General features: G+C 40.2%; 1 protein-coding gene across 3 annotated transcripts in view; it reads right to left on the bottom strand.

The window, feature by feature from the left end:
- Positions 1 to 22,075, bottom strand: part of CNTNAP5 (contactin associated protein family member 5) — an 895,933-nt gene that overhangs the window by 485,093 nt on the left and 388,765 nt on the right. For all 3 annotated transcript variants that reach the window (NM_001367498.1, XM_017003316.2, NM_130773.4), the window contains exons 4-5: positions 18,537 to 18,684; positions 1,440 to 1,643 (exon numbers count right to left, since the gene is read on the bottom strand). In NM_001367498.1, coding sequence (NP_001354427.1) covers positions 1,440 to 1,643; positions 18,537 to 18,684 — 352 coding nt within the window. The remainder of the gene's footprint in view (positions 1 to 1,439; positions 1,644 to 18,536; positions 18,685 to 22,075) is intronic.

Raw genomic sequence — 22,075 nt, 5'->3', positions numbered from 1 at the left:
ACTTGTAACTGGGAGGTTCAACTTCATTCATCTGATCTCCTTTCTGGAAAACTGAAAACCAGTAAATGTATTGATGCATGTTTGTGTAGTATTTGGACGCCCAACATTCAGAAAGCTCTGAGGCTTGCTTCTTTAGTTATGGTAATTACAACCAATGAGGTTACCAGCAAATTTTTTTACCACTCTCTTCTAGGTGATATTCTACTTTTAAAGGTATTTTGGTGTGTATATCTAATATATTAGGTGTCAATTTTGAGTTAAACTTTGAAATCTAGAGATTCTTTCTGCTACCGCTGCCTATAGTCACCATGGGGCTCCAAGAAGATCCTCAGAAATGCCTCAAAATAAAAACCTATATTGTTTAGTTTTGGGGCACTAATATTCATCCTTATGTCTCTCCAGCTAATTGCTAAAATGTATTTAACTGTGGATTTTTGTCAGTCTTCCATGCAACTTAGGGTTACAAATTACATTTTGCAATTTCTTTCCTTCTTTACTATTTTATAGTGAAGACAAAAAGATAACTATTTTCCTCTCCCTTTAATATTAGTAAATATCAGATGGGAGGCAGGGAGTCATTCTTATGAAAAACGGCCATTTACTTTTTTTTTCAGCTTATCTCTTTCTTTCTTTCTTTTTTCTATAGAAGAGTGTTTTTTTGTTTGCATCCTTGGGAACTGTGCTCCTGCCTTTTGTACTCAGCTTACCCTTCCTTCAGAAGTGCCTTTGATCATGTACAGGAGGCTGGGCCTCTCTCCTCCTTCTCTGGGATAAGAAGTTGGTGACAATGAACGCGACCTGCCTGGAGTGCAACAGGCCCTGATGGATGCCAGCCCACAGTGGAAGGCCATGTCCTAACTGTGTGGAGTCAGGAGGGCATTCTGTACTAAGTTTAATGGAATCTGGTGAGTCTGGGGCTTACTCTGGAACAGTGAGGGCACCTAAAGAAAAGAGTTTCCCTTAAAAAGACATGGGAATGCCTAGAAACTTAGATTTTTCACCTCACACATATGATCCCCTCTTCCCCAACAAAATAACCCGGAGCAACCAAAATGTTTCCCCGTCATTTTCCCTCTGAAACTTAACTTTCTTATATGTACCTAATAGCATAGATTCTGAGCAAGCCTCCTTATAATATGTGTATATACTTAAACTTGTGAAAGTTTTTTTAGAGTTTGAGTTACTAAGAAAACTAAATGGATAAATACGTAGTTAGGTCAATAAATACATAACAATGAGTTTGCAACTCTCCCTACATGTCAATATTATATGGTGTCAAAGAATGCTATACATGCCTTAAACATTTCTATCCCCACCAATATCACTTATATTGTGCTCCAGTGACTTCCACCAGATACACTGCAAGTGTCAGACACTGTGAGCTGTGGAGTAAAGGAGCTCTCCATCCCTTGGCATTGGAAGAGGAAGTCTGAGCCTACCCAAATTGAGGTGTAGGGCGAGCCTCCCCTTCTGGAGTTCCAAGGTGATGTGGTCTCCACGCTGACCTTCTCCATGGAACAGGACCCCATCTCCTTGCATGCTCTTGAACTTCAGGGAGATCACATCTTTGAGAGTACTCATCAACTTCTGATTGAACCTGTACAGAAGTGAGCTTCGGCCATCAAAGTCAGCAACATCTGATTCTGGGAACAAAGAAGGAGCGGGAAAGAAAAATTAGTGCATATTCTCATGACTGCTGTTACTGTTTCCCATCTTATTTCATGTCCAGTTCACAGAAATGTTCTTGAGATCTGCCAGGTCTAGTCTCAACAGGAAACATGTAGACTAGAACCACCCTAATTAGACTCAAGGGAATTATTCGTTTACAAGCAATCACCACACACTGAGTCAAAGTGAACTGATCATTAGTTTAGAAGTAAAAACTCTCATTAGTGATATGTCAGCTTTTGCTGGAGGGGACAGGGTGAAAATACCGCAAGTACCTATGTCTGGCTTACTATGTCAGATGGCTTAGAATAATCTCTCTTGATTTGTCTTCCTGACAGTCAGAACCACTTGATCTCCTTATCTCAGACACAACATTAGAGATGAAAAATAGATATAATTATGATGCCAACTCCACATAGTACTGTCTCCCTAGAAGTCTGTGTTGAGAAGGATTCTGAGGCTTCTACTGGGTTCAGTGGAAAAAAATACTCAGCAAAAGAAGACTTGTTATTTGAACAAAGAGGGCAAATGTATCACTGCCTTATCTGTGCTGGTGATATTTATCATTTTAGTGTTTTTATACAAAACATTTAATTCCTTATTGTCAAAGCAAAACAAGGTGAAGGTCAAGTAACCATGATTTAGATAAACTTATGTAACAGGTATGTGTAAACATATCTGACAAATTATGCCAAAAATCTAATAGAGATTCTATTTGGAATGTGTTGTTCTAGGTTATTTTTGCGGGTTTTTTTTTCTATTTTTTTAATTACAAAAACTTTTATAATGAGCTTTTATTGTAGAAAAACATGTAAGACTGTTTAATTACAAATTGAAACTGATTCATTATATACCATGTTCTGTGGGTGGGATTGTGGTGATTATGTGGAGGGGGTGGGATTTTCTATTTAAAATTGAGTACCCAAGAAAACTCAATTTTTGTATTATTCAGCATGTAATTAAAATCCTCAGCCTGAGCATACACAATGATAATTTTTTTTCCAAGGATCTAGAAACACTCTTTGTGAATCTGAGGATCTGAAATGAAAAGGAAAATGAAATAATACTTTTCTGTAATTAGTTTTAAAACCCAATTTCACAATTTATTTATACGGAACAAAGTGTCCTAACCAAAATGTTGCTGATGGAAACCTTGACTTTAAAAATAAACTGTCCATATACAAAGAGACTTTCACAAATGTCCACCTTTCTCAGCACCTCCCCTCCCTACCTCATCAATGCACTTATGACTGTTATCTCAACTAGGATTCCACCCAGACCAAAGTGGGGCCACAGACCAACAGCTGCCACCACTCATGGAATAGTGAGGACTGTGGTATAGATAACATAATGGATTCTAAACTGTGATGGTCATAGTTTGTTAGTTGGGTTACCTTGGTCTAAGGTGATTGTATTATTTATAGGATGAAGATAATTATATCCATTAGAGAAAACTGCTTTGAGAAGTACATGTGCTAAGACTTACAAAGTTATGACACATCAATGTGAACTCATTGTGCATGGCACATTATTTGTGTTAAATCAATAATAGATAGGAGAGGTATTAGTAGTAATTGAAATAACAGGAATCTTTTAGTTCCTATCAAGGCCACTCTATTGGTTGGCACTCTACCTTCTTACCCCAAATGATGCTTTTTCAATTTTGATTCAGTTGTTTACTGCCCAGGGATGCCAAAGTAGCCCCAAGCTTCTTTTTCTGTCATGTTTTGGCTTCTCACATTCTAGCTGAAATTAGTGTGTGCAGAGTGCGTACATCACAATGTACACAATATTAATATTCTCTTCTGATTGCTTCTACTCTGCCACTGTACCAGACTGTGGAGTAGAAATTGTGTCCTAGGTAGCCCCTGTAGTGCCCAGCAGTGAGTGGAAGGACCACATAGTGTCCCATAGAGTTTCTAATGGCAAATGCAGACATTAATACTCACAGTAATGCTAACTGAACTGACTCAGTTCAAAGGGGGTAGATTCAGACAGGGTTTCTTAGAGAAAGTGAGTGGTATATTGGCCTTTAACAATATGTAGGAGTTACCCCAGGGAAAGGAGGGACCCAGTGTCTCCAGGAGGGATAACAGAGGCGTGAGAATGTTTGGTGCATCTCAGTACTGCAGGAGGCCAGCATGATGGAGAAGGGACAGAAAGATCTCTAGTTCCCAGTGAGGCATTTCTTGCAAGCTGAGACATACCACACATGGTGTCTTTGAAGCAGTAACTCAATTCCATCATTATTCATGGATGCATTTGTCCCACCCCCATAGACAGATATTGCATCTGAACTTTGGGTTTCCCTAGCACTGGGTACACCCCTCTGTTTTTGCTATCACATGCCATGTGAGAATCACCATCCACAAATTATATACATCCTGTCCACTCACTCATACCACCACTATACTCTTCATCTCCCAGCCAGCACCAGCACTGAGCACAGAGCCTGAACATGGCAGGTGGGGTCCCTTGTGTGGTGAACTAAAACCACATGGAGGAAATTTGCCTTTGGTTCCCTGGTAAAGACATTAAACTAAGGAGAGGAGCCCTCTATAGAGCAGCTCTACTACTCACCAGGTGTCTGACTGGGGTTAAGTTTATGTCAAAACTAAGGGCCTCACTTTCCATCCTTGTAAAATGGTGCATAACAATGTATTCAATTACACTTACAACTGATTATAAGAAAGCAGTGAGAGAATTTGGATTAATATTTATATAAATAAATATTACATATAATATTTATTTATTAAATTTTATTTATTAAAATTTATTTATATTTATATAAAGAAATTATATATAATGTTTATATAAAGAAATTATATATAATGTTTATATAAAGAAATTATATATAATGTTTATATAAAGAAATTATATATAATGTTTATATAAAGAAATTATATATAATATTTATATAAAGAAATTTTATATATATATATATATATATCTTTGACACTTTTTTGTCCAAGCAATGGTTATGGAGAAATTTATGTAAATATAAATATTCATTATGTTGCTGCTATTTCCCCCATTCCTCTTCATTTTATAATGTCATACTCCAGTGTACTTGGCTGCCTGGACCCCTCATGCAGGCCTGAGTTCTTGGGTCAAGTACTGAATTCCAAATGTTTTCTTTTCTCCAGTCCACTCACTCACTCACCTCCCTCTCCATTCATCATCGTTACTATGATCTGCATTCCATTCCCTCCAATGTCTGGCTAGTCTAGTGACTTAACTGAGGATACAAATGTTGATGGCAAAGGGACATAGGTTATCTCTTAAGAAAACACATCTCCACGTTGTCATGAGACCTAGAGAAAACTAAGCCAATCAGTAGAACGAGTCTAACAGAGCTGGGTTTCAGTTCTGGTTTTACTCCTTACTACCTGGGGGCAGGTGTTGGTTGAAGCAACTTTCTTGATTTCTTTGAGCTCCAGTTCTCCTATCTGTATGATGGGGCTTATAGGAACCTACCTTCAAAGTCATTGTGAAAATTGCACAATCTCAGACCTGAAAATACAAAGGCATTCAACAACATTTTATCCCCACATTTCCTTATTTATAGAAAGAAAGTACTCAGTAGTGAAGATTTTCAAGCACAGCATAAAGATGCTATCAAGAACTTGGTGTGAAAAAATTCTGTCTGGGTTTGGGATTCGGTAGCCTTCACATCACACTGAGTAGGCGTGCACTCATGTCCTCATCATCATTGCCTGCTTTCCGTTTTCTATTAATAGTTTCAGAACTGCCTCCCAGATTTCACTTTTGCCACCTTCACCTGACACAGTTTTTAACGTTAAAAAGCATAAGAAACATCATACCTCAGCATTGCTAAAGTATTTCATTGAACTTCCTTTGCCCTGATAATTAATTTCAGTCTCCAGGACTCCACATGATCCTGCTCTGTTCACCTCTCCCACCTCATCTTCTGTTCCTTTCTTCAACCCTCACACTGCTCCAGGCATGCTGTGATTTTAGTGTATGTGCATATGCATGTATGTGTGGGGCTAGGATAATGTGTGTGGAGCCCACATCATAAGCCCTGCAATTCTCTAGATGTTTTTTTGCACAGGAACTCATTTAAACACATCAATTAACCTTTGAGGAAAATACTATTATTATTCCCCCTTTACAAATAAGACAAACACGGCACAAAGAGACAAAGAGGTATATAGTGAGCAAGTGCCAGGGCCAGGATTCAAACCTACCCTGTCTGACCCACCCACGCTGAGTCCACTGAGCTCTTTCCCATGCGCTGCCCACTTGGACCACGATGCTCAGCTCATCTGTCGGTTCCCACCTGGCCCTTTTTCTAAGGGGTCCTCCATCCCTGTTAGTCTCCCTCTAAGCACCTTGCCATTCCCTTCATAATGCACCTCGCAATTGGATTAGATGCTCATCTGTTTTCTCAGTGGTTTATAGTCCAGTTGTCCAACACGTCAATGCATCTCATGAGGACAAGGGCCAGATGTACGCTGTTTGCCACATTAATTCAGAGCCTCGCAATGGACTCGGAAGGGTATGCCATCCAGAACCACCTGTGAAATGAGCTGTGATCCATTGAGGTGCCTATGCCCAAGTGTGATGTTGCCCAAGTCTCCCCTGAGTTCCTGCGCATCATCTATTTCACCATTCAGAGCCAGCTTACCATCCACACTGGGAGAGTTAGTTTCTTCTGCAGGCCATGCTCAGCCACTGGAGCTGTGATCCCTGTGTGACTCACACATGCTTATTGGTGCAGAGAGGATGCACGGCCTTTAGTAAGCACAGAACTAGCCTGGTGGGGTGCGGGAGCTTTCCTCCGACCACCACCAGTACCTGATAAGAGCTACACTTTGCTGTTCTCAGAGATTTCAGCCAAACACTCTGCACTTCTGCAATATTAATTACATTGCACACAACAGGCTCCAGCCATTTCCCAGAGAGAGAAAAGGGTTTTCAAAACTTTCAAAGAAGGATTAAAGGTTTCCCCAACTGAATACTTCCTACTCCTTCCCAGACACTAGTATTGAGTATTTTATAATGTACTATTTTATTTAATATAGTTAATGCTTTTTATACTATTGCTTGATTTTTTTCAACACTTTCTTTAGGATTTAGCATGTACATTAACTTAGAATCAGCTTCCAAAGCTAACTGTGACAACTCCTAACATAGCTTTTCTTTTAAAATTTCTGATATTCCTATGCATGATAGCACATGAAAAAAAACAGGATGAGTTTCAAGAAGAATACTCAGCACTCCCAACTTCACTTGGAAAAGCAGATTTAAAATGATAATAATAAAGACCCACATGGTTATAGGTTGCTGTTAATAAGAGATAAACTATTATATGCTGCTTTTTCCTCATGAGGTAGTATCATAACGACTTTTTCTGGATATCTCTTTGGAACTTAATTTGCTGCATGGGGTCTGGTTATAGAAATCAAAATCTTTATTTGTGTTGTACAAGCATCTTGGCAGATTCTCTTTTAAAAGGAAAAAAAGAAAGTGTGTAGAAAGGAGTAAAAAGGGTAGACATGGGCTCTTTATGGCAGATGGGAAATGTGTGATCACTTCAGATTTAAAGGTACCAAAAACATAAAACTGAATATATCTCCCATATTCTCTATCACAACTTCTCTAACACACTTGTGGAGATTTCTTTCTCTGAATCCATTTCCCAGGGGGAAAAGGAACTAATATACACACATTACCTAAGGTAATGTTCTTAGTAGCCCTGAAAGGTCCATATTTTTCCCCATTTGTAAAGTAGGAAAACCAAAGCTCAAAAAAAAAAAAATGCTGATTGCTGATTTAAAGAAGGGAAGGATGATGTTAAATAAGAAGTTTTCTTTTCCTTAAATGTTGCTCTGAATTTCCCTGGGTTCCCTGCTCTTCTTCACTTGCTCTTTCACTTGCTCCCTTTCTGGGAGAGCAGGGAAACCATGTACACATGTGGGAGGCTTTGTTATGGTAGAGGTACAATGCCCTCTCTATCCCCACCATCTTCCCAAAGCTCAAACCCTCTATCCTTTTTTATTTTTGTGGTTTTCCTTCACTCATGCATTCTTGTGTTCAAGCTCTACAGAGGTCCCTGCTCTCGAGGACTAAGCTGGAGAGAGCAAGCACGCAATTCTACATCCATTGGAAGGAGGTGAGCACTGTGTGCTGAGGGAGCGCTGAACCCTCTCCAGGGAGGGGCAGAGGGTTAGGAGGGTGTCCAGGCAGGGTCAATGTTTCTCCAGAGTCCTGAGACATAAGAGGCAGTCAGGCTGGTGAGGTGGGGGTGTGGTGGGAATAGGAGAATAGAAGGAGGGAGTGGAAGTGGGAAGGGCAGTCCCACCAGAAGGAAGGAGCTGCAAGCTCAAGGCAAGGAGGAGAGAGACAAAGTGCAGGGTCCCATCTAGGATCTATCAGGAATCAAACTTGCTGAAGGGAACCATACCCTGTGGACCAGCAGCATTGAGGTCACCAAGGAGCTTGTTAGAAATACAGAATGTAAGACCTCACTGCAGACCTAAGGAATAAAAACCTGGGTGTGGGACCCAGCAAGTGGTGTGTTAAGGAGCCTTCTCAGTAGCTGCTCTTCTTGATGAGGTTTGAGGAGCTCTGTGCTCAAGTGTAGGGTGCCAAGGGCAGTGGGGATTCAACAGGTCGGAACTAGAGTAGGAAGTCTCATGATGGAGAGTCAAATTAAAAATAAAATAATATGGGTTTGGCCGGGCACGGTGGCTCACACCTGTAATCCCAACACTTTGGGAGGCTGAGGCAGGCAGATCACCTGAGGTCAGGAGTTTGAAACCAGCCTGACCAGCATTGTGAAACCCCGTCTCTACTAAAAATACAAAAATTAGCCGGGCGTCCTTGTGGGCACCTGTAATCCCAGCTACTCGGGAGGCTGAGGCAGGAGAATTGCTTGAACCCGGGAGGCAGAGTTTGGAGTGAGCCAAGATTGTGTCACTGCACTCTAGCCTGGGTGACAGAGGGAAACTCTGTCTCAAAATAAATAAATAAATAATAATAAAAAAACAAAATAAAATAATATGGGTTTCAATGTGACCCTGATATCAATGGAGAAATAACTACTAAATCATTTAAAGTAGGGAAAATGTATGATTGGTTTGGGTTTTTAGAAAGAGCTCTTTGTGTTTTAGAAAATGCATCAGATTACTTGCATGGTCAGCCTGCATAATCCTGGCTACCTACCCCCGTTACCCAATTTTATTGTGCCTTGCCAAGGTAGTAAAACCCTAATGTGGTCGTTGTGGAATGTTTTCCTTCATATTAATACCTGTTATCTGTTCCTCAGAGTTCTCTATTTTATCTGCCATGCCAGTGACCCAGAACACAGCTGTTAGATATTTACTTCCTGGAGTGAACAATTTCTTCCCCTTTTTTCAAAATCGATTTTTAAGAACCCATTATTACAAACTTAATTCAATTCAATTCGTGGTTTGTTAAGATGCTGATACATTGGCAGTCTTCTCTAGAATATGAAGGAGAGGCCAATCATGCTCCAGAGTCCTTAGAATGAAGGCAGGCTCTACAGTGCACAACCTCTCCTTTTGGGTCAAGACAGAGCCAGCATGCGCTCCCCCATCCTGGAGTACTGAGAATGCCAGCACTGGCCGACTTCCCACTGGGCCCATAATTGCTGACCTGGCTGCCACAGCTTGTTTTCTGAGAAAGACAGAGTTCTGGAGGCATATGCTGGCATATTTGATGGATGTTGGTAGCTTGTCAACAAACCAGCTAAAAAAAGGGCTTCACTGAATAGAAGATTCCAAGCTTGAATCCCCAAGTGGGCCAGCTGGGCTCCTGAGTGGGCCAGGGACAAAGAGTCAGCTTCCTCACGGGCCAGAAAGCCGAAGCTCAACATTGACAGGAGAAGCTATCGATTCACCCTGAGACAATCAGTCCCACTTGGACTCTTCAGTTGTTCACAGTAAACATGATTTTCAATACAATTACATTTTGAAGCTTATGTCATGATACATTATATAAGAAAAATGATTATTATTCAGACCATACTCTTGCACTGAAGACTCAAGGGCTTTGGCTAGCAATCCACAAACCACCAGGGTTTCCACAGCAGCTCAAATTTGCACAGATTCCTCCACCAATTCTGTGACTGCCAGGCCTTATCAGTAACTCTGATTACCTCAGATGAACTATGAAAATGAGGAAAGTTTCCAAAGCTAACTGTGACAACTCCTAACATAGCTTTTCTTTCAAAATTTCTGACATTCCTATGCATGATAGCACATGAAAAAACAGGATGCGTTTCAAGAAGAAAACATGAAAACAATCATAGTACAAAAAAAAATCAAAACTCTGAATTCCAGTCGTAACCTCAGCAGAAATACATTCTAGCTCTAACAGTAAGACTCGCCTTCTCATAATGCTTAGGTTTTTTTTTGTTTTGTTTTGTTTTTAGATATTTCAGATGCATAGATGTCTTTCGGGGTGCACTTAAAATTTGTAGTTCAACTGGACTGTTGAATAATGACAAAGATTACACAAAAATAATGTACTCATTTTAGGGAACTTCCATAGTAGGTATCATTTTATTCATTACTCCTAAATTCATTGGCAGGTATTAAGCATATTCTGTACTCCTTCTGGTCACTGTACTGAGCTCTGAGATACAAAGATAACAAAGACGTGAGCCATGCCACCGAGGAACTCGAACACCCTAACAGCGACATAGCAAATGCATCACTATGCCACTGTAAGATGCGGTACAGGGAAGCATTATGGTGATCCCTACAACTTATTACCCTAATGAGGACTTGTGGGATTGAAAAGGGGAGCTATAAATAATGAAATGGAATAGAACTCTAAGGAGCAAGCTGGGACATATGGTCACCTAAGTAAGAGGTGCATGGTGGGCAGTGAGAAGATAGTGATCACTCCACTAAGGTATAGACAGGTTAGCAAAAGGTTTCACTATGGGGATGAGGTTTCAGAAATCTTAGCCACAAACTCACAGAAGGAAAGGAATGATCAACCCGTGTTGTGGCAGCAGCATCCTGCAATGACAAGCTGCTTCCTGACTTCTACCGTCATCAGTAGTCTTAAGCCACAGTGTTGACACAATTGCCCACTAAAAGGATGTTCATACAATGAGAGTCATTTAAATAGCAATGTCAAAATTAGAGACGATAGTTATTATTTTTCTCCCTTACGGTAGTTGACCTGTTTTTTTAATAAAAAGATTTAGTATGGTTTTATGTTTAAGGGAAGGTGAACAGTCTTTGTTAAGGATTCTACCTGGGCACAGACTAAGCCACTTAGTGCTAGGAGGCAGAGGGGAGTCACGGTCAATCACTCCAGTGACCACTTCAACAGGGAGTAAATGCAAAACAAATTGTAGGAGGCAAGGCCTTGGCATTTTTGTGGAAACGTACTGTTGCATAAAGTGGTTGATCCAACTACTTGGTCATTTTTCCCTTTTCAGGTTTCCTTTAAAATCACTGCCATTAGCATATGGGTCACAGGAATAATAGCAATATCGCCAGTCAAATCACATACTGGGCAGCAGGGCATTAATTCATCAGGAAACAGTGTTAGCTGTGTATTTTTTTTCTCCTTTGCAAGCCTTGCCAAAGACTTGGTTTCCTAAACCTCCATATTTATGAGCATTTGTTTATCTACCTTTTGTAGCTTCTGAAAATCTGTGAGTTCCTAAAGGGCAAGGATTGTCTTATTTATTTTTGTATCTCTGAAGCCTAGCAGAGGGAGCCTACTGGGTAATGTTTGTTGACTGTTGAAGGAGCCTTCAGATCCTCAACCAGTCAGAAAAGTTATAAAGAAGTCATTGATTTAAGATGGAAGATCACAGTGTCTTTTATTTTAGTGTTGTTATTCCATGTATGTGTGTACATTTGTCTCTTCATAGAAGAGATTTTTCAGTCATTCCTATAGGAACTATGAGAAAGAAGGGTAGGAAATTTCATTTATTCTCAAATCTAATGAGGGGACTGCAATGAATCTGGCATCTTGGAGATTTTTCCAACTCTTAAAAATGCTATGATTTACAAAGTGGGAATCAAAGTTCACATTGGACTGCCAATGCCCCAGGTCTGACTGCTGTCATCCTGTCCCTCCCCACTTGGAGGGCTGACAGAGCTGTAAACTGTGCCTTCTGAAGTTCCCTGTGATAGGGCTGTATGGGCCTTAGCATGTCAGAGGTGAGATTTACAACTGTGTGGCCTCTACCATGTATGACAAATGATCCCAGATGATGAGAACAGCAACAAAGAGGGCAGCTGAAGCTGGAATTACAAGAGTATTTATCTGAGGAAGGAGAATATGACTTCAGCTCTGAGAGTGATGAATTTTGGATGATACCACTTGCGAGTAATTAACCAAATAGGAGCAAGGTCTTGTGTGGAACAGAGGCGACCTGAAGTACAAAATGATGTTTGTAATTCATAATGAGACTGGGAGGCCTGACAGATCATTAACTTTATCAGAATTTATAATGTTTTTTAAAGTTAATTAGCCGGGCCGGGCGCGGTGGCTCACGCCTGTAATCCCAGCACTTTGGGAGGCCGAGGCGGGCGGATCACGAGGTCAGGAGATCGAGACCATCCTGGCTAACACGGTGAAACCCCGTCTCTACTAAAAATACAAAAAATTAGCCGGGCGTGGTAGCGGGCGCCTGTAGTCCCAGCTACTCGGGAGGCTGAGGCAGGAGAATGGCGTGAACCTGGGAGGCGGAGCTTGCAGTGAGCCGCGATTGCGCCACTGCACTCCAGCCTGGGCGACAGAGCGAGACTCCGTCTCAAAAAAAAAAAAAAAAAAAAAAAAAAAAAAGTTAATTAGCCGGGCGCAGTGGCTCATGCCTGTAATCCCAGCACTTTGGCAGGCTGAGGCGGGCGGATCACGAGGTCAGGAGATCGAGACCACGGTGAAACCCCGTCTCTACTAAAAAATACAAAAAATAAATAAATAAATAAAGTTAATTAGCTTCCCATATTTAAAGAAATTCAAATGGAAGCCCCCAGACAGAACTTCAGGTAGCCTAGACTCCAGATGGCCTGACGAAGGTGCTGAAATCCTTGGATACCTGGTATATAAAAAAGCTGACCTTCCTTGGACATACAGATGAGATGTGGTCCTGAGTAAGAGTGGGAAAAAAAAATATAGGGAAGTTTGGTGAGCAGCCTAAATATCTGACGAAGGTAACGATGCTTGTAACTAACACTTTTTGGGTGCTTACATTATGCAAAGCACTGTTTCATACAATTACTTGGTTGAAGCAACACTAGTATTACCTTTCTTTTCATAGAAAAGGAAACTGGTGTCCACAGAGGACCCAAGATTGCCCAAGATTACCCAACTAGTAGGTGGTGAAGTCAAGTTTCTATGTCTGTTGGTTTGAATTCAGAGCCCATATATTTAACATTATACTGACTTCTCAAGTTTTCAGATTTCATTTAAAATCCTTAGGATTAGCAATCACAGACACGGAAATGATAGTGCAGACTAAGAATGAAGTGATGTTTGAGATAACAGCTTTAAATTCTGGTTCCTCATCACGCTTGCCTAGAACCAACAACAACAAAATGCTTATACAAGCACTGGAGACCCTACCCAGAGATCATGATCTAATTGAAGTGCAGCCAGAGTAGGTATGTTAAAAGCATATATGTCCCAAGGTGATTCTCAGGTAGAACTAGGTCTGAGAACACAGGCAAGGGATAGAGGATTGGAAGCATGCAAGCCCAGAAGCTCTTGGCCCAGTCAACAGCTAAACTTTGTACGTGGAGCTGCATATGCTCAGGAATCGTAGGTTGCTAACTTTGATTTTGTGAATAAAAAAAGTATCTGGGTATTAGAAGATTCATTAGGATGTGTTATCTCCAAGAGAATTTCAGATTCCAACATTTGGCAATGTTGACAATCCAGGGCACTGTGCAAAACTATCTTGTCGAGTCAGGGGAAGCAGATGTTAGACAATCACGCAGTTAACTGATGACATGTAATCACAAGAAAAGTGCTTCAAAGTACAAATACAAGACTGATAAAGTCTAGAAAAAGGTCTTATTTTCTGATGTTCCTAGAGTGTTGCAAGATGCCTGGTATCTTAAAGGCTAAATAAATGGTATCTACTGAATGAATAAATTAGTGGAAGAAATATGTTAATATTTCCAAAATGTAGAGAGTTAAGTCTGAAGAAACTATAGAGCTGTAAGAATTCTACCAATCTTTAGCAACATACTCAACTAAACTTTTGGAAAAATTATTAAGCCCATAGAAACAAAAGTAATTCCTTAGAAACTACAACAGATTATGAAAATCAAGTAATTCCAGATGAACCTTGTTGCCTATGCTGAGAGAATGAGGCTGGATTGATATATCTATGTACCCATTCAACAAATACTTACTGACTGTCTTTTTGTGCCAATTAAGTGCTGGCTGTTAGTAGACAAGGTGCCTGGTCTCATGGTACTTTTTCCTGTGCAGGTACTAGAGTAGGTAAACAGGAAAGAAGTAAGCAAACCCAGCCAGTGAGATTCTGGGTTGTGGCCGACACCACAAAGTAAATGACAGCACATCACATATCCATGGGCATATAATCATGGGCTAATGGTGGGTGTACAAGAAGGAAGGCAGGTGACTTTAGAGGAACAGTCGGGGGGACTTCTCTGAGGAGGTGACATTATAATTAAGAATCACATTGGCAGAAGGAGTCAACCCTGTAAATTCTGGGAACAATTGTTCAACAAGGACTTTTACTTGCCAGTAAGAAATCTCAATTTTATTTCACATGAATCAAGAAGGGGAATGCTATGCTTTCATTCCTTCTTTATAAAGAACATTTTGGTGACCGTGTAAAAGATGGTTTTGGGGTGAGTGTAGTGTGGAAGCAGGAACTCCAGACAGGAGGCTACTTAACAACTCCAGGTAAGAACTGACAGAGGCTTCTACTCACAAAAGTGGGAGAAGTACATGGATTTAAGATACCTGTTGGAGGAAGCAACTGATAGAGTTACTGTGAGCTGTAGATAAGTTGCGCAGGACTTGAAGTTATAGAGAAGGAAGAACAAAGGCTGCTTCCCAGAGTTTTGCATAGACAAGTGGATGGAGAGTGCTGCTGTTTACTGAGATGGGGAGGAGTGTTAGAGAAGAGCAGGTTGCTGAGGGCACCACTAATCTAGAGTTCCATTTTGCTATATTCTATTTAATATATCTACTATACTTTAAGTGGAAATATCAAGTAGGCTGCTGCATACATCATCTCTGAGGTCAGGCCATGAGATACAGATGTGGGGTGACCAGCATGTAGATGTGTTTAAGTTTACAAAACTCTGTCAATTCAGCAAAGCATGCAGTGTAGATGGAAAAGTAGTAGAAGAACTGAGATAGCCAATTAGCAAACTGAGATAGCCAATTAGCAAGTGAGATAGGAGGAAAAACGAGGTTTTAAAAATATGGACATAGCTTTTTGAATCAAGTACTGCTGAGAGCTTAAGTGAATTAAGAAACATTAAGTGTCCACTGAATTGGGCTTCTTGGAAATCACTGGTGATCTTGAGAAAAGTAGTTTCTCTAGAACATTCTGTATTAGTCAGAGTTTCCCTAGAGAAACAGAACCAGTAGATACTTATATATATTAAGAGACTAATTGCAAGGAATTGGCTTATACAATTGTGGGTCTGGTTAAACGTGCCTGAAGTACATAGGGCGGGCCATCAAGAAGGGGAAGCTGGAAACTCTCAGGAAGGATCTGAAACTGTAGTCCACAGGTGAATTTTCGTCTCTCTCAGGGAAATTTCTGTTCTGCTCTTGAAGCATTTCAACTGACTGAATTAGGTCCATTCAGATTACTTAGGATAATCTCCTTTACTTAAAGTCAAATGATTGTAGACACCAAACATATCACAGCAGTAACTATATTAGTGTTTGGTTGGGTAACAGGGGACTATAAAAAGGCCAAGTTGACATGTTAAACTGCCCATCAAATGTCTCAATAGTGATTGGAATCAGTTGCAGTGTGAAGGGAGGTAAGCAGGTGGGGAGAGCAACTAAAGAGAAGTTTTAGAGAGAAGCCATTCTGTGAACAGGAGAGAGGAGGAAAAGGAGAGGTAGTTGCTAAAGAGGGCCATGAGCTTTTGCTGTTTTGTTTGGTGGTGCTTACAGTAAGATTTTAGGTTTATAGAAACAATCGAGTCAAACTTGGGCACAGTAGCTCACCCCTGTAATCCCAGCACTTTGGGAGGCCGAGCTGGGTGTATCACGAGGTCAGGAGTTCGAGACCAGCCTGGCCAACATGGTGAAACTCCATCTCTACTAAAGATACGAAAATTAGCCAGACATGGTGGTGCACGCCTGTAATCCCAGCTACTTAGGAGGGTGAGGCAGCAGAATCACTTGAACTCAGGAGGCGGAGGTTGCAGTGAGCTGAGATCATGCCATGCACTCCAGCCTGGGCAAGAGAGCGAGGCTCCATCTCAAAAAAAAAAAAAAAAAAAAAGAAAGAAAGAAAGAAAGAGAGAGAGAGAAAAGGAAAGAAAGAAAGAAAGAAAGAAAGAAAGAAAGAAAGAAAGAAAGAAAGAAAGAAAGAAAACCAATCCAGTCAAATAAAAAACATGATAATGCTGAAAGGGAGAATTAGGTTCAGAAGGCATGCTAACCCATTGGTTTTAGATACAAACTGAGAAATGTATTCGTTTTTTAAATTATTTCCCCCAAATAAAAAAAAGTACCAAAGCATCAGCACTAGTGATTGAAGATTATAGGGTTCCTGCTTGAGGCACATCATAAAGACATTCTGTGTCCGACAACTCCCCAAGGTTGTTAACTTCCCATTATTGGTGAGGTTGACCTGAAGGCAGTTTATCCCATTGGAAGATGCACTAGACCTGGAGCCTACATGGAAAAAGGTAGACTCTGTTATCACAAAGTCAGGAGTTCTTTCCTTGGCTTAGAACTGGGCTTTAGCAGACCTCTGAACCTTCTCATACTGTAGAAAAGATACATGTTATCGTTATTATTTTTCTGGATAGAGTGTTCCTTATCAGATTCTCCAAGGGGTTCATCACCAGAAGATGCTAAACATGCTGCTCAAAGACATCTTTCAACCCTGCAGCCTGTGATTTAACTCGATGCTGTGACTCTTTCTGTGCAAGTAGACACTGTGGGTGAACAATTGGCATGAAAAATAAGTACAACTGAACAGACTGAGAAAAAGCAAAAGGATAAGGACATGTTAAAGAGTAATAAGATTCTTAGATCAAAATAGATGGCTGGCATAATAATATTAACAAACTTTTAATTGTAGCATAAAAGCTTCATACTGTTTTTTTTTTTTTTTTTTTTTTTGAGAAGGAGTCTCGCTCTGTCGCCCAGGCCGGACGGCGGACTGCAGTGGCGCAATCTCGGCTCACTGCAAGCTCCGCTTCCCGGGTTCACGCCATTCTCCTGCCTCAGCCTCCCGAGTAGCTGGGACTACAGGCGCCCGCCACCGCGCCCGGCTAATTTTTTGTATTTTTAGTAGAGACGGGGTTTCACCTTGTTAGCCAGGATGGTCTCGATCTCCTGACCTCGTGATCCACCCGCCTCGGCCTCCCAAAGTGCTGGGATTACAGGCGTGAGCCACCGCGCCCGGCCCATACTGTATTTTAAAATAACCTAGCAGTGACAAATTGTTATCAAACAGGAGGTGACAAGAGGAGCTTGATGCCCCAGACATCCCAGGATAGGACACATATACCCTTGTAGGTGTTCTGTGCTTTATCATACAAAGTTTGGAGTGGAAGGCAGTTCCTCCTGGGCCTAATGGTTTGTTGATGCATCTGTTCTAAACCATATTCTTTCTGAAAGTGCTTGTTCAAGATAAATACAGTCATTTTACCAGTAAATTCCCTGTGTGCAGGGCTTTATTTTTAGCAGACACTCTATATCCATAGTTTACTTGGAGAATTTGTAAACATTCCGCTTTTGGATTTCCATTTTCAGAAATTATAATCCAGTATGTATGGGATGGGGTGAGGGAAATGCATTTTCTAGGCAACACTCCTATTGATTCTGATACAGGCATTCAGTTGATCTCACTATGGAAAACAGTACAGACATGTACTCATTAAGAATTCCTACAGCCCAAAACAGGAATCTACTGAACTAGTTTGGATGAAAGTGTTAGTGATCAAATGTGTTTATGCATTAGGGGTCATTGAATTTTAGCATATAAGCAGAATATGTCACTGCTTACGGCAGAAAAACTATTTATTATGATGCAATTTCAGGTTTCAGTATAAAGCGCGCAGGAAAGAATTATAGGGATGGGAATCTTCCCTGAATAATTTTAACCTTATTCTAGAGTGATCACTAGTTCTACCCATCTTTATAATCTTTATGTGCAAGATAGAACTCTAATTTCAAATTTAATACAAACAATTCACAGATGAATGAATGAAGGAGATCATTTCAAGGAGAAAGCATTTTGTGAATTACATTTAGTTGTTCTTTCTCCTCGTCTTCTAGAACAAGTCAAGAAGGTGAATGCTTTTCTCTCATAGCTCTGGGAAAGCAGGGCAGAGAAGACTTTATAATACCTAATGCCACTTCCGGGGAAGAATTAAACTCAATTTTGTTTAACTGCAAAGGACAAATGGTTACTTGATTCCCCAAGAGTTATTAATTTTGAATGTTTCATTGAGCCTTTATCACACCATCACAACTACATTCCTACAGTCCTAAGTAGAATGTTTTTTCTACTTTGGGATTGAATTGAACATTTTTAAATATGCATATGAAAGTCTAGAAACAACTTTAAAATAAGATGATTGTCAATCTCAATGTAGATAAACTGATGTTACGTAGGCGGTGCCACTCACACTCAGCAATGGTAAAGGGTACATGTGAGTACTTACTATAGGAACATCCGTAGACCTCGACTCTCATGCCAATCTTCCCACTGGGATTCCATTCCAGGGGCACAAAGCGAACAAATCGGGCTCTCACTGAGTGCAATAGCTTGTGGTGCACCACGCTGTCAGCATTCATGTTTCCTGCAAAGGTCTGCAGAGAAGAAAGGAGAGGCAGTGAGGTCTGTGCTATCATGGAATTTCAGTGGAAAACCATATTTGTTACTCCACGAACTCGTACTGAGAACATACCTAATTTCTCACGTATTTCAATTGAAATATGACTTGGGTGAAAATCCTGCATCATGTTTGTTTGTTTTCAGAAATACTTCACATTATTCTTTAAGAAATCCCTTTTAGGCTGTGTGAAGTGGCTCACTCCTGTAATCCCAGCACTTTGGGAGGCTGAGGCAAGCGGGTCATGAGGTCAGGAGTCTGAGACCAGACTGGCTAGCATGGTGAAACACTGTCTCTACTAAAAATACAAAAAAATTAGCTGGGCATGGTGGTGTGTGCCTGTAATCCCAGCTACCCGAGAGACTGAGGCAGGATAATCACTTGAACCCAGGAGGCGGAGGTTGCAGTGAGCCAAGATCATACCACTGCACTCCAGCCTGGGCGACAGAGGGAGACTCTGTCAAAAAAAAAAAAAAAAAAAAAGAAATCCCTCTTAAACATTTTATGAATAAAGCAATTCTAGCAAGTCCTGAGGCATGACACCTAAAAGCTTTACAAAGGTAACAATACAATGAAATTCCCATGTTCCTAATGTCCATACTCACTGAGGAATGGAAGATAACTGACAATCTGCTTTTAGAAGGAAAGGATTTTATTGAAGTAATTGTTACCATTAATTGAGGCCAGTCACTATGCTAAGCACTTTCCATTATCATTATCACCATTTTACAGATTTTTTAAAAAAAGAAGCCTAGAAAGAGAAAAAGGGAAGGAAAAAAATCTCCAAATCACCCAATTGGCTAGTAATTAGTCTGAAATTTCTACAGCTTTCTACTCTTCAACAATTTCATTGTTGTTACAGGAGGGAGACAATGCAACTCAGATTTATATCTTGTTCTTTTACATATTTCCTTGTGAAGTTTAAGCAAAAGAATACACAGCACAAAAGCTATGTGGTCTACTAATATTGTACTTCATAGCCTTTATTTGGATGTGAACAACATGAATGACATGTGAACAATAAGAATGACAACGAACTACTCATCAGAAAAAAAAAAAAGAGGAAATCCAAAATGCTGAAAGTAAAATGCTATCAACCCAGCATTCTATATCCAACGCTGGAACTCAGAAAATGATACCCCAAAACATGACACTTTGACATACAACTAAAGAAGTAGCCTCAATTCTCTCTTACCTTCCCCTCCTCACTCCAACTCTCAATACTTTGTTCCAAAGCACAGGTTAAGGCTATTCTCTGAAGTTCTTTTATCTACTTGGAAACTGAACCCACCAAAGAGAAACAATTGTCTTCAATCCCCTCCCTGAAATGTAATTAATTAGGGAAGATTACAACTCATATTAGAGAGAAAAAAAAACTAAAAATTAAACACCACACCTAGAATCCAGATGATCTTTATCTCTAATCCTATTCAATGCCAAAAAAGAATTATTAAAAATACTCTGAGCATTGGGCTCATTCATTTTCCCTGAAAATTATTGGGGGGTTTTTTTTGCTGAAGATGAAATCCAAAGGCTCACACCTAATATATTTTTTTAATTGGAGTAAATATACGTAGCAAAAAATGTATCATTATAACCAATTTAAAGTAAATAATTCAGGGCATTAAGCATATTCACGTTGTCGTATAACCATCACCACCATCCTTCCCCAGAACGTTTTCATCATCCCAATCATACCTCATCTTTAAGATGGGATGTCAGCTAGCATACCGATTTGCTTGCTTCATTATGAATCATCAACGTTCTTCTTTTCACCTTCTAATATTCATAGATAAAACCTACTTGCTGGTGTGCAATCAATGTCAACCAATGAAAAGAAGATCCATTGCTTTCGCAGATGACCAAAGTGAAAACCAAGTAAGATAATTTTGTCTATTTAATGAAATCCATTTTCAAAGACCTTAACCTTAACCTTGATTATATTTTAATAGCACCTGTGGATTTAGGTTATCTTGCATAATCTTTGACATTTCTACTACGCACAAAACACCCGCTAGCTAATAGCTCTGAAATTAGGCGATTGATGTAATTACTATCATGTATCACAAAGTGGCTTATAAAGAAGGAATTGGCTCACTTTCTATTTTGCAGCCCCTTCTGCAGCAAAACTCTCATATAAAAGAATGACTTAGTGGTGAGGAATTTCTTGAGGTTCAAATTCAACATTTCAGCTCCCAGGTTTGTCAAACTTTGAACATTTTCTCTTTATCCAGATGGAGAATGGCTTTATTTGACAGAAATGCTCTTCCACATCCCCTGCTCCCAGCACTAGCATCTGGCACAGGTATGAAGCTGTCCTCCTTCCCTGCTCACCTGGAAAGGACGCCTCCCTGTGGAGTTTAGTTCTTTTAAAATGTCCTTGCGTCCATACCACTTTGATATGTATGAGGGAAGGAAGGGAGATGGGTTCTGGTGGTTTCTTACTGTTTTGGGTAGAGTAAAAGTGTGTCATGTTTTTCTACAGCCTAACTGTGGAACCTTCTCTTCAGCACTCTCAATTCCCTACTGATTGTGTGCACCATATCCCACCTCCCCAGGCATGTGAGTCCGTAGGTCTGTAGCATTATTTATCTAATCCAAATGTGCAGTAGAAACTTATCCACCTTCAAATGACTGGCTGCCCCTTCTGAGTTTGGCATAATTTGTAGATTGAATATCACACACACACACACACACGCACACACACATACACACATCTTAAAACAATGTTTAAAATTTGATCGCATGCTCCAGATTAAAGATTTGTTTCATGACCTGGCAATGCTTTATAGGAGTTAATCCCGTGACTAATGTATGGTGTGCTCCAATGAGAAGGAATCTTGGACTCTCATTCTGAGAAGAGGCAGCCTTAGTATTGCAATCTCACAGTCTCAAAGTCCTACTATCCCAGAGCCATATCATTTGCAGTTTCATAGTCTTAGAGGCTCATGGTCAAGCAGATCCAAGGTCTCACAGTTCTGAGATCTGGAAGTTTTCAATGCATGGTCCCAGGGACTTCCTGGTGCTAGCAGCTTAAGGTCACCTAGAAAGCATTAACAGTAGAGGCAGATTGAATCTAAACAAAGCTACAATCAGCCCCTCCCCAAGTTCACCAGTGGATCAAAGTCAATCAATCACTTATCAATGCCGGAAGTTATGTGCCGGATGAATAGCAAGAAAAGATCTTCCTGTTAGATGTATTAAAGCCACCAACCTATTCAAAGCCATCTCAGTTGTTGAATGTAACATGTGAACAACAAGAATGACAACAAACTACTCATCAGAAAAAAAAAAAAAAAAGGAAATCCAAAAATACTGAAAGTAAAACACTATCAATCTAGCATTCTATATCCAATGCTGGAACTCAG

The sequence above is a fragment of the Homo sapiens genome, chromosome 2 (genome assembly GCF_000001405.40).
Source record: "Homo sapiens chromosome 2, GRCh38.p14 Primary Assembly".
NCBI classification, from domain to species: domain Eukaryota; kingdom Metazoa; phylum Chordata; class Mammalia; order Primates; family Hominidae; genus Homo; species Homo sapiens.
This window is presented reverse-complemented; position numbering and strand designations above follow the sequence as displayed.